The sequence below is a fragment of the Homo sapiens genome, chromosome 7 (genome assembly GCF_000001405.40).
Source record: "Homo sapiens chromosome 7, GRCh38.p14 Primary Assembly".
NCBI lineage: Eukaryota > Metazoa > Chordata > Mammalia > Primates > Hominidae > Homo > Homo sapiens.
Window position 1 is genome coordinate 40,998,043 of NC_000007.14, and position 25,373 is coordinate 41,023,415.

The window sequence follows — 25,373 nt, forward strand, 5'->3', positions numbered from 1 at the left end:
GAATTTTCAATGAGGACTTAATTCCGGAATGATTTTGAAAGTAGGTGTGGGCAGTGGCTCACACCTGTAATCCCAGCACTCTGAGAGACTGAGGTGGGCAGAACACCTGAGGCCAGGAGGTTGAGACCAACCGGGTCAACATGATGAAACCCCCGTTTGTACTAAAAATACAAAAATAAATTAGCCTGGCATGGTGGCACATGCCTGTGGTCCCAGCTACTCAGGAGGCTGAGGCTGGAGGATCACTTGAACCTGGGAGGTGGAGGTTGCAGTGAGCCGAGATTGCACCACTGCACTCCAGCTTGGGCGACAGAGTAAGACTCTGAAAAAAAAAAAGGAGCTAGGTGTGTTGAACTGAGTACATAATCACTACTACATTAAAAAACTGCTCCAGAATAAAGCCAGAGGAACAAGGATGACATGAAAAATGTTGTAGTCCTATGGCACTTTGTAGCTACAAAGGTTTGTCTTATTTGGGAAAATTTAGTAGCTCTTGTGCCCAGCAGTCATAAATTAGTATCTTTTCTGAGTGCTGGCTTATTGTTACATCAACTAGGGAGCTTTTAGCTGATGCCCAGGTACAATCTCAAAGGTTCTGATTTAATCAGCCTAGGTAAAGCCTAGAGTATTGGTGTCTTCTAGAAAGCCCCCAAGGGATATTTTGAGCATCCAGAATTAGGAAAGGTTGCTCTACAATGAGCTTCTCCTCATTGGTGGTGACACCCCTGACTCTGTCTTCCCAGCCAAAGCAAGTTCCTTTTCACTGCGCCCCTAATGACTGTGGACTTTACAAAAGCTTAGGTGATCTCTCTTGAGAATAGCTTCCAGTGATTCTTCAACTTGGGATTTCACTATGCAGAAAATGTGTTGAAAAGAGAAAAAGAAAACACTGCAAAGGGATCACATTTATGATTCTGTAACAGGTAATTTAAGCAGTGGTACACATACATGTGTAAATATATACCCAATGCAAATATAACATGTTATACACCTGTCTCTGTGGAATGCAGTGTGGCACAACAGAGACTGCTGTACTGTGAGCTGCCGAAGTGACACACTTTGAACTTTATGTCTTACTTAGGAAAGCCTGGAGATCGATCTTCATAAATTTAGGTGAGAGGACGTCTGTAGATTGAGGGCCCTGCCTGAAGGACAGGCTCTTCCATTATGCACAGCTTTTTTTTTTTCTCATTTTAAAGTATTCTTCTTGTCTTCCTGAAGCAAGACCAACCATCACTGAGGAGATGAAAAGACTTGACAAACATCAGCCTTGGGACTAAAACTTAAAAAAAAATCAGTCTTTCAATTCTTTCATGCCTGGTACATCGATGGACAAATTCACAATTTCTATGCTTGAATTTCTGTTGATCCTTAAATAACATCCACCTTGAGAAAGAGGCCAACAGAGAGTAAGCCAGGGTGTTAGAGACGTACTTCCTATTCATTAGGAGACTGTAGATTATATGACTTCGTGTTTGCAAAGCAAGTAAAATAGTGCCTCGCATGTACTTATAACACTATACAAGTGTTAAACAAAAACAGGATAAATGTAGTAGAATGCTGCTACTTTTGCTTCCTTATATCATTTCTTCTGGGTAACAGCCCACTCCCCAATCAATGAGATTCCAGTGGGGCCAGAAATTCTAAAGTCCGCTACCCGAAACTTTCCTGGAGAGAGCAAGGCCTCCAGTAGCAGGATCATGGTGGGACTTTTACCTTTCCAGAACATCTGCTTCCTTCATCCTTCCTCCATTAAAAAATTTAACAATTACATTTGACAACTGCTTTGGCATAAAGATAAATAAAAATTCAAGCTGAATTTATTATTATATATTTGTTACTATATCAATTTTTTCTTTTGACTTTAAAGGAAACTTAAAACATTTTCATGGGTCCCTAAAAGTACCATGGGCCCCAAGCACAGTGCTTCATGGGTAAGTTGGCCCCATCCAACAGTCCCATTGAACAGGCCTTGACTTTGCCAGCTCTTTTCCTTTCCAGAACAAGATGGGAGTGTTTTATTTTGTTTTGTTTTGTTTTTGAGATTTGGGAGAAGGCAGATTTCATGAGCAATTGTAATTCAAATTCAAAGCACTCAACAAGTTCTTATTAAGCATCATTATGTTTGTGTGTGTGCATGCATTACTCATTATACTTACACACATACACACACACGCATGGACATACAGATGCATGAACACATGTGCAAACAGGCATGCACATGCACACACACACGCACGGACACACACACACGCACACACACATTCTTAAATTGGTCTTGGATGGTAGGAGTTTGCAATCTGGTTGATACGTCCATAATTTATCCATATCCCAAATGTTTTCCTACAAAGAGCCAGACATTAAATGAATTCTAGTCCAAGGCTATGTAATTACAGTTCTTCAATTGTAAGCAACTAAGTTAGACTCTGCCTAACTTAGTTGTTTTTTTTTTTTGTAAGGAATTTGGTGGAAAGATACTGGAGAACTCTCAAAATGAAGAAAAAGCATCATTATCATTTTTCTTAAAGATGCTATATTGTGTTTTGTAAGCCAGAGTGAGAAATTTGGATTTAATTACAATGTGAAAGGAAGCCATTGGATGGATTTAAAGGAGGGTAGTGGTGTGATCTGATTTATATTTGCAAATAATGTTTCCAGCTGCTGTATGGAGAATAGCTTGTAGATGTGTTGGAAGAAATCAGGATGATAAGTGAGGAGATATTTCATGGACCGGAGAAAAGATGGGGCCCTTGCTAGTGGGAAAATGTGCATATGGAGAGGCATAGACAGAGGCACAACATATTTTTAAGGTTAAGGAAGTCATCAAGGGATAACTCTTAGGTTTTTGGCTCCTTGGCTTTGCATTTGACCAACTAGGTATATAGTCATGCTACTTACTAAGAAAAAATTAAAAAACTGGAAAAGAAACATGTTTAAGAGTGGCATCAAAATTCTTGCTGTGGCAGTTTCAGTTATCAGCCATATATCCATGTGGAGATGACAGACAAGTCGGGAGTGGTCTCTGAATTTGGAGTTTCAGGGAGGGATCAGGGCTGGGGATATCTACTTTCAATGTTTATATAAAAATGATATTTAACATGATGAGTCTGAAAACATTACTCAGTTAAAGATGCTGATAGAGGAGAAGAGCGTTGGCTGAAGCTCTGAGGTGGCACTTCAACATTTAAGGTCAATTAGAGGAGGGTAGATGAGTGGGGAGTGTGGTGTCACAGAAACTCAGAGAAGGAGTGTCACACAAAGATGTATAACATCCTGCTGAGATATAAAGTGAAGAGAGAGGACACTATGGATTTGGTGGCATAAGCGTTCTTGGTGACTAGAGATATAGGGGGAATAGAAGTCTTGTTGGAATGAGTTGTGGGAAGAATAAGAAAGAGTCTACTAAGAAAAATGGGGACTGAGAATGGGATGTTAACTGGAGGGAATGTCTGAATTCAGGCTGCTAGAATAAGCTACCATAGATGGTGGCTTATAAACAGTAGAAACTGATTTATCATAGTTTTGGAGTCTGAAAGTCCAACATCAGGATGCTGGCATGGTCCAGTTCTGGTGAGGGCCCTGCAGACTGTGGGTTTCTTTTGTATCTTCAACTGCTGTTACTAGGGTGAGAGAGATCTCTGGGGTCTTTTTCTTTATAAGGGCACTAATCTGATGCATAAGGGCTCCACCCTCATGACAATTACTTCCTAACAACTCCATCTTCTAATACCATCACATTGGTGGTGAGGATTTAAATGTATACATTTTCGGAGGACACAAACATTTAGGACCTAACAGGGATGTAGCCTCCAGGCAAGAATCATTTAAAGTTGCATGTTTGTCTGCTGACAGCAGGAATACAGTATACAGAAAGAATCTGATGATTTAGCCAAGGCAGGAGCCAAGTCTTTGAAAAGACAAGAGTGCATGAGAGCTGGGTGCAAAATTGGAACAGTCACCTTCTCATTAGACTGCGAACTTTTTTTTGTTTGTTTATTTTGAGAGTCTTGCTTTGTTGCCAAGGCTGGAGTGCGGTGGTATAATCTCGGCTCACTATAACCTCTGCCTCTTGGATGCAAGCGATTCTCCTGCCTCAGCCTCCTGAGTAGCTGGGACTACAGGCACACACCATTATGCTTGGCTAATTTTTGTATTATTAGTACAGATGGGGTTTTGCCACATTGTTCAGGCTGGTCTCAAACGCCCAACCTCAAGTGATCTGCCTGCCTTGGCCTCCCAAAGTGCTGGGATTACAGGCATGAACCACTGTGCCCGGTGGAGAATGCGAACTTTATCCTTTATCAAGAGATAGAGGACAGAGAACAAGCAGGTCAGTAAATATGGTGGAGAAGAGGTGAAAAAGCTCCTGGCTGATTGCTTACTTTCTCAGCAATGAGGCACAGCCATCAGCCGAGGGTGAGAGTTGCAAGGATGTAGAAGATAGGACAGAAGGGTGAGAAATCGTTGCTTGGGAGAGCCTAAACATGAAGAGGAAAGGGAAACCCAAGGAGGGCTGCCTGGCATGATTGAGTGTCCATTTTAGATTTAACAATATGAAATTTAGAAGACCAGTCAGCATAGTTGGGTTTTTGTCCAGCAATGTTTAGCTGCACTGGGGCAAAAGTCTTGGCCGCTATTATGAATGATAATACTAGCTGGCATGTATTTAATGCTTATTAGGTGTCAGACACTTTCTGAAGCACTTTAGAAGTCTTATTTGTTTCTTACAACTGCTTTATGATGTATGTGCTATTATTATAGGTGAGGAAAATGAAATAGGGACAGCTTGAAAGGGCTGGGGCCTGTTGCAGATCCTGGCAATTAGACTCAAAAGACCACATAATTCACGCCTTATGGGCTGTTACTAGGACAGATGAGTCAATGGTATATAAAGCATCTAGCACAGTGCCCTGCCCATAGGAGGCATTCAATGAAAATGCCTCCTATGGGCATTCATAAATACTGCTATTTATGAATAGCAATAATTAGGAAATGATATTATCTACCACATAGAGTTTTTATAAAGTTTAAGAAAGATGAAATCCGTGAAATTCTGAGCTTAGCACCTGGAACTTAATAAATGTCGGTGCGTTTCTTTTCTGTACTTCTCCCACCAACCTACGTAATATTCTGACATCTAAGTCCTTAGTCATTTATGATTGCTGAGAACTGTGTTGCCATGGGAGACCACTAGGTGGCGCCACCAAAGAGCAAGCTTGTTCCATTTACCTTCAGATTTAACTCAGATACAGGTGGGCGAGCAGAAGCTGGACCTTGACAACCAAAAGAAGAATTGTCATAAATAAATAAACAGATGGATAGAGAGAGGGATAGGGTTGCATTTAAAGCATATATTTGGGTAAGCAAATAAAACAAAGAGCATGTATATCCAAAGAGACTCTGTTAATTAGATAGGCAGGCGACAAGGGCCAATGCAAATTTCCTGTGCTTGCAAGCTAAATAAAACAGAAATCTTGCCTACTTTCTCAAAACCAAGCTATACTCCCAAACTGTTAAATCCATGCATCAGACAAAATTTCTAACGGTGGCATGGGCATATGTCTCTCTATTTCCTTTTCCTGCCTCCAGCACAGGTAATGGAGACTTCAGCCCAGCCCACCCTATAATTTGATAGCTATCTCTCTCTAGCTGCCAACCCCATCCAAGATCAACAAATGAAAACACCTAGTGTTCCAAGCAATGCTGCCTCATCCGGAGACAATCCCAGGTATCCTTCTTTGTGCAACACTTACATTCCAGGAGGTTCTCTCTGAATGACAAAGGTCAGAAACAGAAAAGCATGCTTTTCTTATCTCTCTTTTCCTAGGAGCAGTGATATAATGCGATTGAAATCTCTTGCCTGTTTATTGTATCATCATCCATAGCTGTATGGCTCTACGATATTCTGGAAAAGGTATAGATACAGTTAAAATAAAAATCCATCCCACCACATTATCATGGCCTTGGGGTACATTTTCCAAGATCCACCCTCCCCATCCCTAGGCATCTTTCTATTGCTTCCTGGATCGCCCCACTAAGGACATATGTATCTGCTTGTAGCCAGTGCAACTGAGCTCCCCAAACACAGATTCCCATGAAAACTGAACAAAAGAGGAGGGAGAGGCAGAGCATGTTAAATGTCTCATTAGGCCTTCTGTCTGATTCTCATTAGATTCGCTGACTGCTTCTCATTAGGCCCATTGCCTCAACTTCTTTCAGGCCCTGAATATGTAGGCCAGTGCTTATTGTCATGGTTGGTCGAGAAGATCCATTTCATTTATTCATAAATTGAATGTGGCTTCTGAAAAGTCCCAGGCATTTCTTTTGGCAAAGTGAAGGCAGGCGTATTGTTGTTATTTGCTATTTTTTGAGCAATCCTAAGCAGGGTGGGCAGAAGAAATAATTTAAAAGACCCAGCACGAAAATTTCAAACACTGCTGCAGAACTGGAGCACTGGGAGACACATTGTTGCAGCCAAGAGGCCAGCATCATATGCAGACATCTGCAATGGGACATCATGGGCACAATCACAAATACCACCAGGTTCAGAGAGGAACTGCTATGGCTCTAACAAGATGCCCACTGGGCAGGCTATGGAAGACAAGAGCTATCAGGGACATCAGTAAGTTGCAACTCCTGTCCTCCCTGCTGTTTGAAAACATGTACCCAGTGTTTTGAATTAAGAACCAAATAATCACATAGAAAAGTTACTGTACAGTAAAATATTCTACAAATTATGGGTATAATACATTACCCTTGTGGAAAAAAAAAAATAACTGGCATCTCAATATTCTTCTCATTGAAACAAGTAACTGATCCCTTCCCCTGGGAAGAAAGCTCCCAAGATATGGCAGGAAGTTAATGGAACTTAGAGACAATATGTTTATTGTGACATCGGTGGACTTGGCCCTGAAGAATCACACAAAATACATATCTGCAATGGAAAAAGTAAACATTGATGAGCATTTGCCCAAAAAATGGCAAGCAACTGCGTACTTCCTATGCTGTCTCTTTGCCATTGTTTGCTGTCTTTGCTTGAGTTTCTCTCCTGGGTGCATGTGATGTGCGCCTAACATGACTTTCAGAGTCATCTGGTGCCTAGAATCAGAGAGATGATTTTCATAAGGAATTATTTTTTTAATTTTCCCGGACAGTAAAGTTTGAGTGAGGAGATTTAGTACCCTTTAGAAAGCCAGTGTTTCCCCCTCAGCTGAAGGTATGCTCTGTGTTTGATACAGACCTATCGAAGCAAGTCAGGCTGCCCAAGAAACACTTTTCTGAAATTGAATGTTAATATTAGATTGGAAACTTTCTTCCTGCCCCATCCCCCCACCCATGAGGGATAAAAGAGGTGTCTCCATATAAAGTCTTCTCCATCAGGAAGAAATGCGGGTATTCCCCAAGGAAGGAGAAGGGCCATGACTCACTGAGGAGGTCCAGGGTGTGGTTTCTTTCAGACAAGCTCCAGCTGTTCCAAAAGCTGGAAAGACATGGCAACTTCTCCTTTGTGGGTTTTGTTCAAGTTTGCAATGTCCCATTTTGAGGTAGCACTGGAATCCTCTTTTTACTCTGTGCTGTGGGAAGAATTTCCATGTGGGTACATGACTGTTATCAATGAGGTTACCTATGTTTAGGTTTGTTGCCTTTATATCAGGCTATGTGGTCAGCCTTATAAGGACCTATGTGAAGATCAGGGCATAGAACTTGCTGTTAGGAAAGGGCATGGTCATTCCAAAGATGCTTCTATGCTGATTTCCCTCACCCCCAATACTGACTTCTAAGCCAGTTTCCCCATCCTTGGTGACTAGCCCTCAACCTTGTGTAAGTACTCCCATTTTGGGGAACTTGACCTCCGAGCATTCCAGGAAATGTGTATCCCAGACTGCAACGTTCATTCACAACATTCCCAAACAAAACTTGTTTTTCTCCCAGTTGGCTTGCAGAATATACTGTTTTGTGAAGCCCTCCTAAGATGTATTGATAAATATCTGAAAGAGACATGCTTATTGATGTCTGTGAGACATGACTGTGGAGATGACATAAAAATTTTGGCTCCAAAGCTTTTCAGTAAAAAGCCCAGTTCAGAGACAGGCTGTAACAATGGGCTGAAAATGATCTTGGCCTTTCAAGCGCTTTATCCTATCCAAAGTTTCAGCAAGAGAACCTGATCTCCCAGAAAGTATTGCTTTTATTGCCAACCATAGAGAATCACTGACAAAACTAATTAAAGAATTTGAACCTCATTTCCTCTTTCATTAGCTGACCCTCAACCAGGGGCTGGACTCCAAACAAAGGCACTCTGAGCCAACAAGATATAGAATGTGAGCCTCTCACCAGAGTAAAGAGGGCTGCATGCTCTCATTCTCCTCTTTGAAAGAGCTACTTGAGTGCAAAATACCTTGCCCTTTTTTTTATAATGGAAAAAGCTTTGGGTTGCCATCAGAAATAATGAAGTTTGAAGTTCCTGAAAGTTATTCATTTATTGGACTTGACTTTCCACCCTTCCCTTGAATTCCAGGAGCCAGGTCAAGACAGTGAGTTCTCATGGAAAATTAAGTACTTTTGCAAAGGTGCTTAAAGAAATATGCTTGTTTCAGGTTTCAGGCTCTCAAGGGGATGGTGGTCATTGATTTCCAGGCTTAAGACAACGATAAAGACTTCCAGATATGAATGAGCTTATATGGAATTCAGCCAGTCTACCTGAAAGGCCTGTTGTAAAATACTTGGTTCTGTCTTGGATACTCACCCTTCTCCTTCTTGACTTTTTTTCTTCCGCATTTTAAGATTGCATCATTTGGCAGTCATTGCAATGATTACATAGAATGGCATTTATTGATTGAATACCTTGGCAGATTGAAGAATAACTATCTGAAGATTGTGAAATGATTTCTGTAAGTTACATGATTATCCACTGAAGTGATGGGCTCTATCACAACATATATCTTTGTTAGTTGGTTATGAAGCTGACATAAATTTAAAGAAGAAGGGCCTCAGAGAGGTTTCTGGAAAAAATTTTCATTTTATTAATATGGAAAAATCTTAAGCTTAGAGATTCAGTTTTTTTTTTAAATTGAGTGGAAACAAATCCTATTTTATTTTAAAAATATATTTTATTTCCATTTTAACTTTGATGACAATAAAACACAGATTTTGATAGAAGAGTCATCATTCAAAAACAAAGGATGGGTCTCCTTTCTCAAGTGGCACCCTGACTACTTAATATTACACTACTGATTGGTCTGCATGATCCTGTTTGATCAAGTGAGATGGCCCTCACTGAACAGGCTTTTCCAAAAGCATTTTACAACAAGTCGAGGCCTCCTTAATCCAGAGTAAAGCTAGGGATATACAAGAGTGGCAAAATGTAAACAAGGGGAGACCCAAGAATATACTCAGCACGGGAGCTCATGACTTCCTCTCTGACTCTGGCCAAGAGTATTGTTCCTGCTGTGTGCACGCCTTAGAATATCACCCAGGGAACCGGATGCAATGCTTTGGCACTTCATCTAATTTCTCTGCTCTGGAGACCTAGTCACCAATGCCAGATAGATTCCCTTGCAAGTGATCAAATACTTACTTGACTTTGAACTTTTGGTGAAAGATTTAATGTGGGATAATCAATGAGTGAAACTACACTATGCAATCCCACAAATATGCAAAAAACAAGAAAAAGAAAGGGGAAATTAACATTCTTGGATTATTTGACCATGAAAGCATGGAATTTGCTTTAAGTAAAAGCTTCTATGACAATGGAATCTTGAAGGAATTACAACTGAAATCCAAAAAAAAAAAAAAAAAAAAGAATTAAATGGTCTTATGTATTTTTTTTAAATCGTTGTGTTCAATTGTGCTATGTAGAATCCACAGTTTTCTCTTCCCTTAACAAAATCTTGGGTGTATTCCATAACTTCCTGGTCACATTTGGTAATTAAAACTTAGTGTGGCTTAATTTAAACCCTTAATTGCATATCCAATTTAAAGCTAGAGCTGTGACTCTGGCTGCTTAGAAAGAGGGTGGGGGGCAAAATCTGGCTGTGGAGCAATGCTATCCTCCCCCTCCCGTAGACCCAGCTTTTCTGGGGAGCCTGAAGGAGGGCTGGGGGATGCACAGAAATCCTTTCTTAAATGGCCACTTGCCTGTGGGAGGGAGGCGCCCCTGGGCACTGTTCTGATTCTTCCTGGTTCCATTTTCCTCTAGGAGTTTCCATGCAAGTGCTGTATGTGTTTTTAAGCTTTCTTCCACCCCACGCTCCTGAACGCAGCCTTGTCTGCCATCAGCCCTGGGAGGGCATCTCAGGTCTCCACTCGGTGGAGCCTGGAGGAACCTCCTGGCTCCAGCACCTCCTCTCACATCCGGGTTTCTTTTAGTGGGGCCAATGAAAGGTCACAGTCTGATTTCATGTCCTCTCAGCACAGAAGAAAACTAGGTGGGTTGGGGATCACCCTCTCTTTCCCCGGGAATTGCTACCACAGTCCCTCCAAGTCAACACTCATGCCTTGGGAAATTCCTAGACTGAAAGCAGGCCACAGCTTGCGTGTTCCTCTCTGCCTGTATCGCACCTCAAGGCTCCACATCTTCCATGGAGACATCTTGAGTCTGCCAGCTCTGGAAGCTTGGGAGGCCTCTCGGTGGGGAGTGAGATGCCAGTTTCCCTGTATTGCAAGTCCCCCCAGTCACTATAAATGACGCTGCTGGAGGGCAAATGCGCCCTTCCCTGGGTCTGTTTCATGCACACCTCTCCTGCCCTCTTCTCTTGACTGGGGAGGACCTGGCAGGATGCAGTGGTGCTTGTTGGCAGTGTGTCCCTCCTGCTGCCTCGTGGTCACCCGAAGGGATGGTATCTGGTCCCACCCGAAGGGATGGTGTCTGGTCCCGATGCATGGTGGCTTCTTGTTGGGTCTTGCGAGAATATGATGGTATCTCTGTTTCCAGTAGTATTAAATGTCCTGTGGTATGAGCAAAAAAGGGACATGGCTTAAAAGTGACTTATTTTGGGGAAAATGCAGTTCTAAAGAATGCAATTTAGCCGGGTATGGTGGATCATGCCTTAATCCCAGAGCTTTGGAAAGCTGAGGTGAGAGAATGGCTTGAGCCCAGGAGTTTAAGGTTATAGTGAGCCATGACAGTGCCACTGCACTTCTGCCTGGGTGACAATGTCTCTCTCTAAAAAAAAAAAAAAAAAAGCAACTTATATGTTAAATGATGGGCAATGGAATGAAAGATTCGATTTCACAGTCTATGAATCTATGTTAATTATTAATTCTCAAAATGATTTTTATACCCAGGGCTCAATGAATAAAATGTTTCTTCATAAAAATTAGAGGAAGGAGACTGAACTGAGTTTAGGTTCCCAAATCATAGGCCTAGTGCCACGGGACAGGTAAAGCCATGAATCTTCTTGTGAATTTGGTTGCTAACTTAGAGCACTGGGTAACTGGGTCCATCTATGTATCCATCCACCATCCTTCCTTCCTTCCATCCACCATCCATCCATCCTTCCTTCCATCCACCATCCATCCTTCCTTCCATCCACCATCCATCCTTTCTTCCATCTACCATCCATCCTTCCTTCCATCCACCATCCACCCTTCCTTCCATCCACCATCCATCCTTCCTTCCATCCACCATCCATCCGTCCTTCCATCCACTATCCATCCTTCCTTCCATCCACCCACCCATTCATCCATCTCAGTGTCCTGATTCTTGTCCCTTAAAAGCTATAGTACAATGTTTTCATTATGTGGTCTGACTTTTAACAAGTACCCCAGATGTGTTAAGTTTGAGAAACTCTGGGCTATACTGAAGACTGCAGAAAAGTACCTTCTCATCAATGAAATCAGTGATCACTCTCTTCGATGATATTTCCCCAGGCATGACTGGCCTCACAAAGAAACTTCCCTTGAGATATGTGCTGTATTCACATGCAAACTTTGATGTGTGCATCTCAACCAAGTGAGCCTACATGTGTTTGCGCTGGATGTGTACTATTTTGTAAAGTGAATTCAGAGAGATGGAGAGTTCAGATCAAGAGGAAGCTTGCTCCCTGCCCTCTAACCTCACACCACCCAGCAGAACTTTTTCACCATCTGAAATTTTTGTTTGTTCATTTATTGCTCATTATCCACCTTCCCAAACCTGAATGTAAACTGTGATATTAAGTACATTGATTGCTTGTTCACAGTGGAGCCCCAGAACCTGGCTTAGATACCAACACGTAGGAACCACTGCTACTGTTACTGTTAATGACTCAATGAGCCACGTAGATAGACACGAGTAAAACACAAGCTTTGCCCAAATAATTGCAGACATTGAGGTGAAGTAGGGATCATAGTGGAGTAAAAAAATGGATAGGATTAGTTTGGGAAACATTTCTAGGAGTGAAATCTGAGAAGCCTTCTGAAAGGCATAGAGAATGGAAGGTAGGAACTTGTTCCTTCTCTGTAGACCAGTTCAGGCAGAGGCCTTGAAGCGGAAATTGAGAAACTGGTTCTGAAAAACAAGAAGCACAGTCTGGCTGGAACAGAGGGAACTTGGAGAGGAGAAGTCACAGATGAGAGTGGCCATAGGGTGGTGCTGGGTGAAGGAGAGTTTGAAGGCAATGGTCAGAAGTTTATATTTGGTCCAGATGGTAATAGCAAGCCACCGGAGGGCCATGTTTACACATTTTCAAAATCCAATTAGGATACCACATGTTTTTGTGCTGTAATCACCCATTTTGGACCCATTAAATAAATTAGTTGAAAGAGAAAAACAAAGAAAAAAAATAAAACGATGTGTCATTTGATAGCATTAGGAAATCATGGGATAAATGTATTAAATTGGAATGTTTGACCTGGAACGAAATTAATCCAAATATGGTCTTGATGACTGAGTCTCAAACTGAGCCAGGCCCACAGCTGATGTTTGAAAATATGAATGGTTAAAAAACAAACAAACAAACAAAAAGAAATGATGGTGGTTTGGGTGAGGAAAATAGGCATATCTTTCCCTTTGAAGGGTTTGGACATTCACTTACTGAGGGCAGAAGCCTGGACCTGCTGATTTCTCATGCTCGATTCCAAGCTCTAGATTATGACAGTTCTATAAGAACACTGGTTGACACGCATGAGGAGGAAGCAGCTGTTTCAGTGGAATTCCCTCTGGAGAGGAAGGAAGTCCAGCCATCCAGATGAGATCAGGCAGAGGGAGGCGGATAGAAGAACAAGCAGGCACTCAGAAGAGGGGAGCTGTACAAACCTGGGGTTTCGTGTGTACCTACTGTACATCCTTTCTTTAGCCTCAGCCACAAATTAGAACATGCAGAAAAGATAGTAGAAGACAAAAGGGAAGTGAGAAGGTGGACACAGATGCTGCTTTATTGGGAGAAAGTAATAATCTTTGTCTCTTCTGCTAGTATGATTTATTTCTTAGAGCCCCCACTATTCAAAGTGTGGTACCCCAACTGGGGTATCCCCCAACCTCTAGGGGAGCTTGTTAGAAATGCAGAAACTCAGACCATACCCCAGACTTACTAAATAAGAATCTGATTTAACAATATTTCCCAAGTGTTTCATAAGTAACTAAAGTTTGAGAAGCACTGTGTTAGAGTTTGGAGCAAACTAAATAAAATAAAACTCAAGGTGAGAAAAAGTTAGAGAATTATAATCCCACAGGACAGAAAACAGTGTAAATCATCCCACCTCCCTCCCAATGGAACTGGATAGGTTATACAAATTACTACAGACCTACCCACATATATTCAACCATAGAAACTCTTGATTCACAGGTATACATTTTTGTATACAGATAGATGCCACTGGGAATGCACTGGTGGGAAAATTCCTGCTGTTCCAACCCCGAATCAGCTTGTTTTTTTCTTTACACTGTGGCTTTAGAGCTACTGTCTTTTCCCTCAATCACGCCCAGTTCCCTTCATCGGTGGTGTTTTACGTTCTTTCTCTGTTTCACTTCATATTCCACACTTGCATCTTTCTCGAGTGCAGCCCCAGCTAAACCAATAACTGTGGAAGCCAAATGGAGACAGTTTGAACTGGAATCATTTGCCATTCAGCTGGAAAAATAATGATTCCCCAGTTTCTCAAGTGTGGAAATTTCCCGGAACCAGCCTTTTCCCAGGGCCTGTAGACCCTCCCTCATTAGTTCCGGTGAACTCTCCCTCCCCCTGTGTCTTTGCTTATACCCCTCAATAGTCTCCAGGCTTGATTAGCTCACGCTCGCCTGTGCTTCTTTTCCATCACAGCTCAAGCTCACTGCCTTTCTTTGCAGCATTTAACCTCTGTGAAGAGCCGTGAACTATAATGGCTAAACGCAGTGGTTCAGTGTCTGGTGGGTCTGAGTTTCAACCCAGCCTGCTCTGTGATCCTGGTCAAGCTACTCAGTCTCTAGGAACTGAAGTTTCTTAACCTGTAAAATAGGAACAATAATAGCAGCTGCATGGAAACTTGTCATGATCAAAGAGACTATGTTACCTAAAGCAGTCAGCACCATACTTGCACATAGCAAGTGCTCAAAAAATGATCAATGGTAGCTATCTGAGGCCTCCATGGTGAATTCATTAGGTAATCTTGGCTTATAAAAAACATTAGTGGATCCAAGTGCCTCATTTATATTGTGATTACTTCAATTCTCTCTAGACAGTGCTGCCCTAAGATTCATGGACATTTAGGTGAAGAGACTGCCACCCACACATTTAATTACACTAATGTTTTATCCAGAGAAACTAAAAAAAAAAATTAAAATGAAGCAGAAGAATGCAAAAATCAGAAAATTATGGTGATAATGCTATGAGTGTATTTTTTGAATCTCAGAATCTATGATGAAAATTCTAAATGAAAAGCAAAATATTTTGACCTTGTTTAAATATTTCCACATTCAGAACTCTAGTAAATTTCTGTGTAAGTGAATTACATGGTTGCCAGCACAGCACCATCTGCAAGTCACCTTTAATAATCCAAGTGAGGAAACTCTGATTTAAATATATATATATATATATATATATATGTATTTCATTAATTATATATGCATATACAATTTTTTAAATAAGAAGTCCACTTATGTGTTTGCAGAAAGTTTTGTCCCACACACTCTGCTGTGCTGGTTCAGAACAATGATAAATACAAATGGCATTTCACTTCAAACTGCGGAAATAATACATGATTTCTGTTCCTTTGGCTGACCAGTCATTTATCACAGGTCATTTACATAGATCTGGATGGCTTGGTAAACTAATCACTGAGCTCTTTCATTTGGTACCGCGTTCTTCTTAGTACATCATGTAAAATTAGTTTGATGATTTCAGTTCCTTCTCTTGGGATCCATAACCCCATTCACAGACGAACAAAAAACAATTTGGCTGAACTCACCAGCCCAGGTCCAAAGAAGGGGACAGTTGTGTCTTGATGTTGGAGTCATTGACAGCCAGTGAGTCAGTTCTGACTCCTGAGGAGGAGCATTGGCTGAGGACATAGACGAAAATATAGTAACAAAAAAGTGGTGTCCGTGGGTTCGTTTGAATGTGCATAAGTGCGCAGGTGTCTGTGTGCGTGCATCTAAGTGTGTATTATCTATGCCTGTATATGCATTTTGTGGGTGTGTGCATGTGGCTGTAGTGAATGGGCTGATTTAGGAGGGCAAATATTGTGACACATTCCAAGAGGTTACCTCATAAAGTTTTGATCAGGACACATTTTAGTTGCTTTTCTTTCTTTCTTTCTTTTTTTTTTTTAAAGAAAAGAAACATTGACTTTTGATTTTTTTCACTAATATATTTCTCTCCCTAATCTCTCATGACAATATTTCAGGTCCAACATGCAGATAACTGGAGTAGATATTATATGAAATTAGTTCGATGATGTCAATTTTCAATTTGGGGAACCATAACCCAATTCAAAGATAAACCAAAACAATTGGACTGAACCCACAAACCTGGGTTCACACATAGGGATAATTTTGACTTAATTTGGTGACAGTGAGTCTATTATGGCTTCTGAGAAGGAGGCTTTGGCTGGAGAAACAGATAATAAGATTCTTAAAATAGTGTGTCACACAAAGTACCAATGCTCATTTTCTTCTTTTGATATTGCGCTATAGTTACAGATGATGAAACCACTGAGGTGGAGTGGGTGAGGGTATGTGAGACCTCTGCACTATCTTTGCAACTTCATGTGAATCTATTTCAAAATGTTTTACATGAGAATGTTGTATATATGCGTGTATGTGTGGCTGTGTGTGTCTGTGGTGAATGGACTGATTCAGTATGACAATCATTCCCATGAAACTTTCAGTGACTACTTCATAAAAGTCTGATCATGACAGGTATTAGTTACTTAAAAAAAGAAACCTCAAAGTTAGATATTTTTATTAATTTATTCACCACCTCCTCCTTCTCCAATTTCACACTGGATTTAAAAAGTGAGAAGGGGCCTATTATAATCAAATAGCACAATTTTCTTACTGGAAAGAACATGAGAAATATTGAGCAAGATCTAAGAAGGGTAAAAGACTCGCAGTCCCTCGTGTTGAGTCCCAGCTGAGGACTTGGGGATGTGAGGGTCAGCCTGGAGCTGCGGATCACCAATGCTCTTTCTCAGAAGAGGTGTCAAATTCAACAATGAGCCAAGTCGTCAGTCTCAATTACTAAGGGGATGGTTTTTAAACAAGGAAAAGAAAACTTGGGAGCACAATGAAGCAACATAAGATCCCTAAGAAAAAATTTACTCCACTTCCCAAATTTCTCCCTTTTTGTTTGTTGTTATTAGATTTATTTTACCAATAGATTGAGGAATATGGCAAACATAATTCATGAGGGGCCTGACATAGCATTTACAGTATCTAGATGAATAGGCTGGGGAAATTGAGAATGATCAAATAAAAGCATGCAGCATATGGATGACACATGGCTGGCATACCCTGGAAAACCATTCATGTTCCAATAAATTACCTGAGAATTATGATCTTTTTAAAACATAAAGAAAAGTATGATTGCAGGCAGAACTTTTGAATTAGAGATGAGATATAATTATAGGCAGGAGATAATTGGTGTGAATCACTGACAAAGAGGTAACTTTCCCTCTCCATGGTCCAGTGGTCATAGGAAGAGTCAGAACTGAAAAGAGGAATGGTGGAGCAGAAGCAGAGATCGAAGAAGAGGCTTCATTTTAGGAAATAGATGGAGTAATTCACAGTAGAGTGAATGGGGACACTTGGTATTTACTTTTCATTGGTTAGTTGACGGTGGTGATGATGATGATAATATATATATGTGTGTTATTTGTACACATGTTAACTTTAAGCAATTAATTGGGTGAAATAAATTAGAACAGGCTGTTGCTTTAAGTGGTCATGAGCAGAGGTTTTCAAATTTGGCGGATCATTACCTGCCGTCATATTTTTAAAATGTAGGATTCCCAGGCCCTACTCCAGACTCTGTACACCAGAATCTTTGAAAGTAGAGCCCTAAATTCTAATCTTTGAAAGTATAGCCCTACATTCTGTATTTTTAAGGGCTTCCCAGATGATTCTTCATATTACCTTGGCTTGTAGAATGAGGTAGAAATGAATCAATGTTTCAGTTTTCTACCCTTCAAATGGTAACGGGCATCAGGCTATTTGTAGTCAACTGCATTGAGGTAATGAAACTTTCTATAGGAGGTTCTGGTAGAGCCCTTCAGACAATGAGCAGACCCAGTGTGGACTCTTCCTACAGTGTGGGCAAGCACATCTGAGTGATTTTATTTCTAGATTTGTCTGTTTTAACTCAATAGACCATTAACATATATCCCCCAAATATTTTTCTTACTTCCTTCCTTCAGTGCCAAGCGTTCACCACACAAAATGCCTGAATTGAGTGTTGCATGTATGTGTGTGTGGAAGTAGGAGTGAGGGGTGTGCTGGGAAGGACAAGCTCAGGAAAGACCCTATCTGCATGGTTACTGCATTCAGCGAGAACAGTGAACCACAAATGATTTTGAAGGACTGATGTTTCAGGGAGGCCCAGCAGCCTAGAAGGACTTGTATCTTTTCATAGGACAAAATGTTCCCATGTTCTAACCATCAGAAAGGTGTACCTTGGGAAAGGTGGTTTGCTATCCAAAGGCTTTGTAAGGGGGCATTTTTCACATTAAAGTCACTTACAATTTAAGTTTTGCTCTTTAGCTTTCTTAGCTCTTCACGGGAATACACTTTGGAAATGTATTATTTATTTTTATTTTTACGTTTGGTAAGTGCATTCAAGGTGGATGTTTACTGGCTAATCTTAGAGACAGATGCATGAATAAAACAATGCATGCATAAATAAAATAGAAATGTATTATTTTGTATTGAAAAATGGAGCAGCCCATAAGATAGCACATTACATCCAGGAGGGACTTGCCAAGCCAGAACCCATAGATTCCTGTTTCCCTGACTCTCTTGATTTTAATTCATACTTTTTTCTCTTATTTTTCTTTAAACTCAAATTTGCTACCCCGCCCTCCACTAATTACAACAACGTGGTGGAAAATCTAAGCAACATATATTAGTAAAAAGAAAGAAAACATGAAGAAGAAAATAATGATCTTTTGCAATCCCAGCACCCAGCAATAACTGTGGTTAACATCATCCAGGTATTTTAATATGTATACTTACATGTATAAGCCAGATGTCAACTGGGTCTCTCTGCTCCTCATTGTCTAGATAAGATGCCTTGGTCCCTCATTTCATTGTTCTCCTCCAGATTTTGGCAACTTCCCAGGATCTCCCATTCTAATGCTCACCTGTGACTCTGGCTTCCTGCGTCTTGTGAATTCTGTTCTCCACTCCTCAGCCTACAGCTGTTCCTTAATTTTGCTTTGGCCATAGACCCAAAAGTGGAAATCAGGTTCTTTCCTTGATTCAATAGTAACTACAAATCAACCATACAAGGAGTTTTTGGATTCACAGCTGACTTAACTCAGCATTTCAGGATGTGAAGATCATTACGCTTGAATGTTTGACATCCTTTTCCTTAGAATCCTTTGGTCTTTGAGCCACGTTACTCAGCCATGCGCTTGCTCTGCTCTTACCATTCTCTTTTTGCTTTCTTCCTCTCATAAGCAGAAATCATGTTCTTCAACCTTTTTTTTTCTTGCAAAGCAATACAGACGTCTAAAGACCTTGTCTACAAACTTCAGGAATTCCCTTTCTATATACAAAGTCTCCCCTAAAACTTTGACATTCTCATTATCAAAGGGGCCTGGGTTATTGGAAAAGCCCATTCACGTCTCCATATGAGCATGAAGTTTCTACTGAGCCATAAAGATGCGATACATGGGAAAGACAAAGGGGGTTGAAAACAAGGCCACATGGCAGACCCTTCTAGTGAGATATTTAAAAATCAGTTTCACACTTGTCAGTCCCCTTCTTCACATCAAGGATATCAAAGAAACAAGACTGGAGATTAGGAAAGGTTTTAGAAAGATTTCACTGGAGGCCGGGTGCGGTGGCTCACGCCTGTAATCCCAGCACTTTGGGAGGCTGAGGCAGGCAGATCACGAGGTCAGGAGATCGAGACCATCCTGGCTAACACAATGAAACCCCGTCTCTACTGAAAATACAAAAAACTTAGCCGGGCGTGGTGGCGGGTGCCTATAGTCCCAGCTACTCGGGAGGCTGAGGCAGGAGAATGGCGTGAACCCTGGAGACAGAGCTTGCAGTGAGCCGAGATGGCACCACTGTGCTCCAGCCTGGGTAACAGAGTGAGAGTCCGTCTCAAAAAAAAAAAAAAAGAAAGATTTCACTGGAGAGAACAGTGAGAGGCCTGTAAGAATCCCCATCCTAACCAGAAAGAGATGGGAGTAGGATGCTTTCCATTTCACATCAAGTCAGAAGAGAGAAGCCTGAGAGCCACCCAGAATTGCATTAATTTGATGGAATTGTGTTGTCAGCTGGGGAGTTGCAGGAGACTGATGCATGACTTCTGCTTGGGAAAACTTAAAAGCCACAATGGGCTAGATGGGCCAGTGTACTCTGCCTGCCCTCAGGTCAAAGGAAGGCAGCCCTAAGGAACAGCTGTGGCCCCTGGTCAAGGATGGCTGACCAGATCATCTTTGGTCCAGCTCAAGAGGACTTTCTGGAGGGGCCTGGGGACAGACAGACACAGTCTCTGCCTATGGACCGCTGCAAGGGGAATGGTTAATTGGAGAGAATGCATGACCAAGTCATAGGAAATGCAATCAAATGAGTCCAGTGCAGGGGAGGAGGCTCCAGAAAGGCCACCAAAGGGGCTACCAGAGAAGGTGAGCTTTAATCTCCAGCCAGCCTGAGATCATGGTGCCTCTCACTGCAGACTGGTCAAGTGGCTTTCCTGCTTCTCACTTCTCTCTTTCCTCACTGGAAGTCAGACTTAGCAAAATGGAGGGAAAGGTGAGGAAGCATGGCAGGGAATGAGAAACGGATAGCCACCAGCTCTTTTGAACTTCACCTGCAGAAGATTCAAGTCAGATAAAGAGATTTATCCTAAAACCAAGTCCTTTATTTTGACAATTACACAGCACTGGATATTTTACTGAGTTGCGACTGTGTTTGTCTTTCAGAGATTGATAGTATTTAATTGCCTAAGAATGATTTAAAAAAAACAAAACAAAGCATGGGACTCCGTAAGTTTCAATCAAGGTGTCTATTCTCTCCCTACCTAAAAGTGTCTGAAGAAACTATGGAGGATAGAAATGCAGATGCTGACTAATTGATTGCTCGGTACTGCATTAACTATTCTGCAATATTATTTTTCAATTGTTGACAATTGCAAATAATTGTTAACAATGATTAATAATTCTTTATCCAATATAATTGAACTTGGGTTACTTTTTATTTTCCCCTATAAACAACATTTATATGATGACTAATATATTCTTTTTTTTTTTTTTTGAGACGGAGTCTCACTCTGTTGTCCAGGCTAGAGTTCAATGGTGCGATCTTGGCTCACTGCAACCTCTGCCTCCCGGGTTCAAGCGATTCTCCTGCCTCAGCCTCCCGAGTAGCTGGGATTACAGGCGCCTGCCACCATGCCCAGCTAATTTTTGTATTTTTAGTAGAGGCGAGGTTTCACCATGTTAGCCAGGCTGGTCTTGAACTCCTGACCTCAGGTGATCCACCTGCCTCGGCCTCCCAAAGTGCTGGGATTACAGCCAACATACCCAGCCACTAATACATTGTTAAGTATTTCTTTAGGACAACTGTGAAGTTGTTGGATCCAGGTGTATATTAATAATTAAAATGTTAGCTATGAATTGCCAGATGCACACCGATTTACATGTCATCCACATAAGTACTTGTCATAAATATGTTAAGACCTTCAGTTCTCCTTCCTTTAAGTGACTTGGCTCTCCTGACCCTGATCCTTGTGGATTGATTTATAATGTAACTCTTAAAGGACAACATTATTTGCCAGTTCTTGAGGTGGTGATCACATTCATAAACACACATGCATTTTGGAAATCCAACCTGTTCATATATTAGCAGCTGCCGTCATGTTGTTTTTATGGTCTTTATTATTACAAGATTGGTCTGAAAATTCACCATTATTTGTATACTTTGGATAAATTACCATACTTGGGTTGGGAAAACAAATTTATTGAATCAAATTTTCCAACTCTATGTTCTTCTGAGAAAGATGCAGTTGCTTTCTGACCTCACAACCCCAGCTAAGGCTGTAATTCGGGTTGACTCGGCAAATACAGCTTCTGCCTGATGGGGGTGTTATCTGTAAAATCTCTGGTCTTGGAAGGTGGAAGAAACAGAACTTCAAGAATTTTCTTGGGCTTTCATGACAGGAAAAACAAATTTTTAAAAAAGTCTTAAGAAATATTTCAAAACAGGATTTTAATAAGCAGTAATCCCCTCTGTCTATATTTGGATATGAGGTACCTCCCCATGAAATGTAATTCCTAGCTGGCTGTCACTTGTCATTTTTCCTGTGTTCAATATTCACCAACATAAAGGTCCTATTTTGCCAACTCCCAGCACTTAATTTTCCTTCTCACTCATTTTATCATTTTTCCTAAAGTGAAAATAACACTCAATTGTCAAGGGGATTGAATGCATTGTAAATAACAAATGCTATCTTACTTTCTGGAACTTATCTCATGCTATGTTATGGTTTTACCAGGTCCCACAAAATATCAAATATATGAGCCTTAAAGGGGAAAAGTCTCCATACTAGTATATGAAAAAATTCCTAAATTCCAGAAGGGTGAATGAACAGATGGATACTTTTGGGACATGTGTGTGTGTCATTTTTGTTTTACATTTCCTTGGCTCTGCAAGAGAACGCATTTTCTACAAAGTATGGTAGCTAAAGTGAGGGATCATATTAAACTAAACCTGGAAACAAGAAATGAGAAGTAAATAGTTTAGCAAAAATGCAGTTCCATATGTTAATTTTGAAAAGTTTCATTATTAAAACCACAGATTTAAAATAACAGGGCCACAGTCTAAGACACAAAAGATAAATAGTGATGACTGATGTAATAGAGAATATTTTTCTCACTTGAAGGTATAGATGCCATTCTAACTCATTCATATATGTATTTTCAGATTTTCTTATTTAAGGAAATTCAATGTTTTAATAAACTGCCATAAAAGTAATTATATATTGGTGCTCTCCCACACCCTGGGTAGTGATGTCTTCTATAGGAAGTAAAGAACTGAGCAGTTCTAGCAACGTGGAGGGCTGGACTATTGTAGACCCATCTCTTCTCACAAATATACAAATTCTGGATAAGTCATAAGACCGTAACAGTTTATAAAACATATCTCAGGGGAAAAATGAATCAAAGGAATCCCCAGTTGCCAGAAATGAAGAATGAACCCCTGGACAGAGCAGAGCGAATGTAGCAGCAGCCTGATATGGTTGTGGGATAATTCACATTTAGATAGATGTCCTGCAATTTAGGGGCCAAAGTATGAATGCTCACAGATGGACAGGAGATGTGGCCTGTGGCCTCCGTGAGGCACAGTGCTTGAACTGAGGCTGGCATTGAATTACCCACTCCGTGAAGAGACCCTCACAGAAAAGCTGCCTTGACCAACATGGCAAAGTACAACAAGCTTGCACTATCCCAAGTGTAGGGAAGAGTAGAAAAAGGCACAAATAATCTCTTGAGAAACTGAAACTCTGGCCTGCCACAGGCAGAGGAGTGACAAGCAAAGTTATGGACTAGCTAGCACAGAATCTCAACTCAGAAATCCACATGGAATCTGGTCTCAGATGAAATCCTTGGTACTTTGAAAAAACAAAACCACTAGGAATTCAGAGCTAAAAAGACTCACAGAGAAAACAGACATTTTCCTTATTATTTTTCCTTATATATGTTTTTTAAAGTGCCCTGTTGTTATACTTTATCCAACTGTTTTGTATGTTTGTAGTAGGAGGTGAATCTGTAATAGTTCAGTTCACATGATGCTAGAATCAGATAATGACTTACTTTCTATGCAAGAAATCATCATTCAGAAAAACTTTCAGTCTGAAAAATGTCAAGATGAGCTAGCAAGAAAAAACATGGGAAATAACAAGTAATTATTCATCATAATGGAGAGTCAACGATGGGAGTATTAATGCCCCCCACCCCCAAGAACTAGAGGTCATGGAATAATCTGAAAGAAAGTATAAAATAAGAATATCTAAAATTATTAGATATTAAAAGAACAGAGAACATGATGAAAGGCATGACACTGTGTGTAAAGAACAATCTAATTAACCAAAAGGTAGGCCCCAAAATACATAGAGTGTCTTTCCACAGAGAAAGCAATTTAAAACTTAAAGGATAAACTCAATGATGCATTAAACATAGTAGGAGAGAGACTCAATAAACACAGATATAAAATCTGGGAAATAACCTAGAATGCAGCATGGAGTGATACATAAATTGAAATATGAAAGAGAAGTAAAGAAATATGAAGAATAGTCTTAGGCAGCCTAAAATATATCAAATTAAAATTCCAGAAAGAAAATAATAGAGTGAAAAGAAAGAGCCAATATTCAAAAAGATAATGGCAGAGAATTTTTTGGAATTGATTAAAGTAATCAGTTCTGAGATGTAGAAAGCTCAATGAATCCTAGGCAGAATGGATTAAACAAAATACTCACCTAGATACCTTGTATGTGAACAATGGACTGCCAAAGACAGGCAGAAGGTCTTAAGAGCAGCTAGAACAAAAAGGGGTATTCTAAATAAAAAATAAAATAATAATCTTGTCATCACCAAAATAGAGACCTGAAGACAATAGAATATTATCTTCAAAGTACTTACTAACTTTATATTGAAAACAACTGTCAGTCTAGGATTCTGGGGTAGCTAAACTTCTACTCAGGAGAGAAAGCAAAAGAAAAACATTTTCAGATAAACAATGAATGGGAGTTTCTTCTTTAAAGATGCTTACTGAAGAAACATCTTAAGAGTGTAATTAAATTAGATGAGAATTAACCCTGGAATGAGGAATAGAATGCAAAGATTGATGGTGAGTAGAGGATTATTAAAATGTTGGATACATTTCTTCAAAAGCATTGACTTAAAAATATTAAAACCAAGTATTTGAGAAGAGAATTAAAATCCAGGTGGAACTAGAATGCTAGAAAAGAGCACAATGGAAGATAAGAAACACTCCATAGAACTAATATATTTTGAATTCTTTAAAATGTTTAGGGCAAGAGTATAAATATTGATTTACTGTGCTAAATATGCATTATAATTTTAAGATAAGCATGTAAAAATAGGAATAGAATATACTTTCCCAATAGGTGAAGGAAAGAAAGTATAAAAAAAATAAGAGCAGGATAAAGAGAAGACACAAATTAGTTAATATCAGTATTTGTCATAAATATAAATATAAACTTATCAATTAATATAGCTTCTCAGATTGAATATTATTTTAACAATCCAAACATCTGTCATGGCAGTTTTTCATGCTGATCACTAAATTTTCCTTATCTTCATCCTGGACTCATGATTTGGATGTCACTTGCCTACCCCAGGAGTGAAGTGTGACGTACAACTTGTTATATGATGTGAGCTGAAGTGGTGTGTGCCAGTTTGGGATGGAAATGCTAACAGTTCACAGCATGTCAGGTTTTCTCTTTCTGCTACAACCACTAGCAATGGTGCAAACAATGACTTCTTGGGACCCCAGGGTAAGGATGAAGTGGAACAGAACCCCCCATGGAGCTTTGAGGGACCTGCAGTTCTTTGTTTTGCTCAATTGTTGATATGTTGGAGCCGTTTATTACCACAGCAGAGCATAGCCTAACCTTACTGATGTGTACAGAGAAATATGTAAACATAAAGAAATATACTTTGAAAGTAAGGAATGAGAAAAGAGATACAGGAAAGCATTCATCAAAAGAAAAAACATACATTAATAT

General features: G+C 40.2%; 1 protein-coding gene across 2 annotated transcripts in view, besides 1 other annotated feature; it reads left to right on the top strand.

The window, feature by feature from the left end:
• Positions 1-25,373, top strand: part of SUGCT (succinyl-CoA:glutarate-CoA transferase) — a 903,812-nt gene that overhangs the window by 863,038 nt on the left and 15,401 nt on the right. The window lies entirely within an intron of this gene.
• Positions 8,170-9,369: an enhancer, noted in NCBI's record as "MED14-independent group 3 enhancer chr7:41045810-41047009 (GRCh37/hg19 assembly coordinates)". NCBI's record gives its function as "activates an origin of replication core promoter dependent on BRD2, BRD4, P300/CBP and CDK7 cofactors, and independent of MED14, by STARR-seq in HCT116 cells {active_cell/tissue: HCT116}" and the evidence as "EXISTENCE:reporter gene assay evidence [ECO:0000049][PMID:35650434]".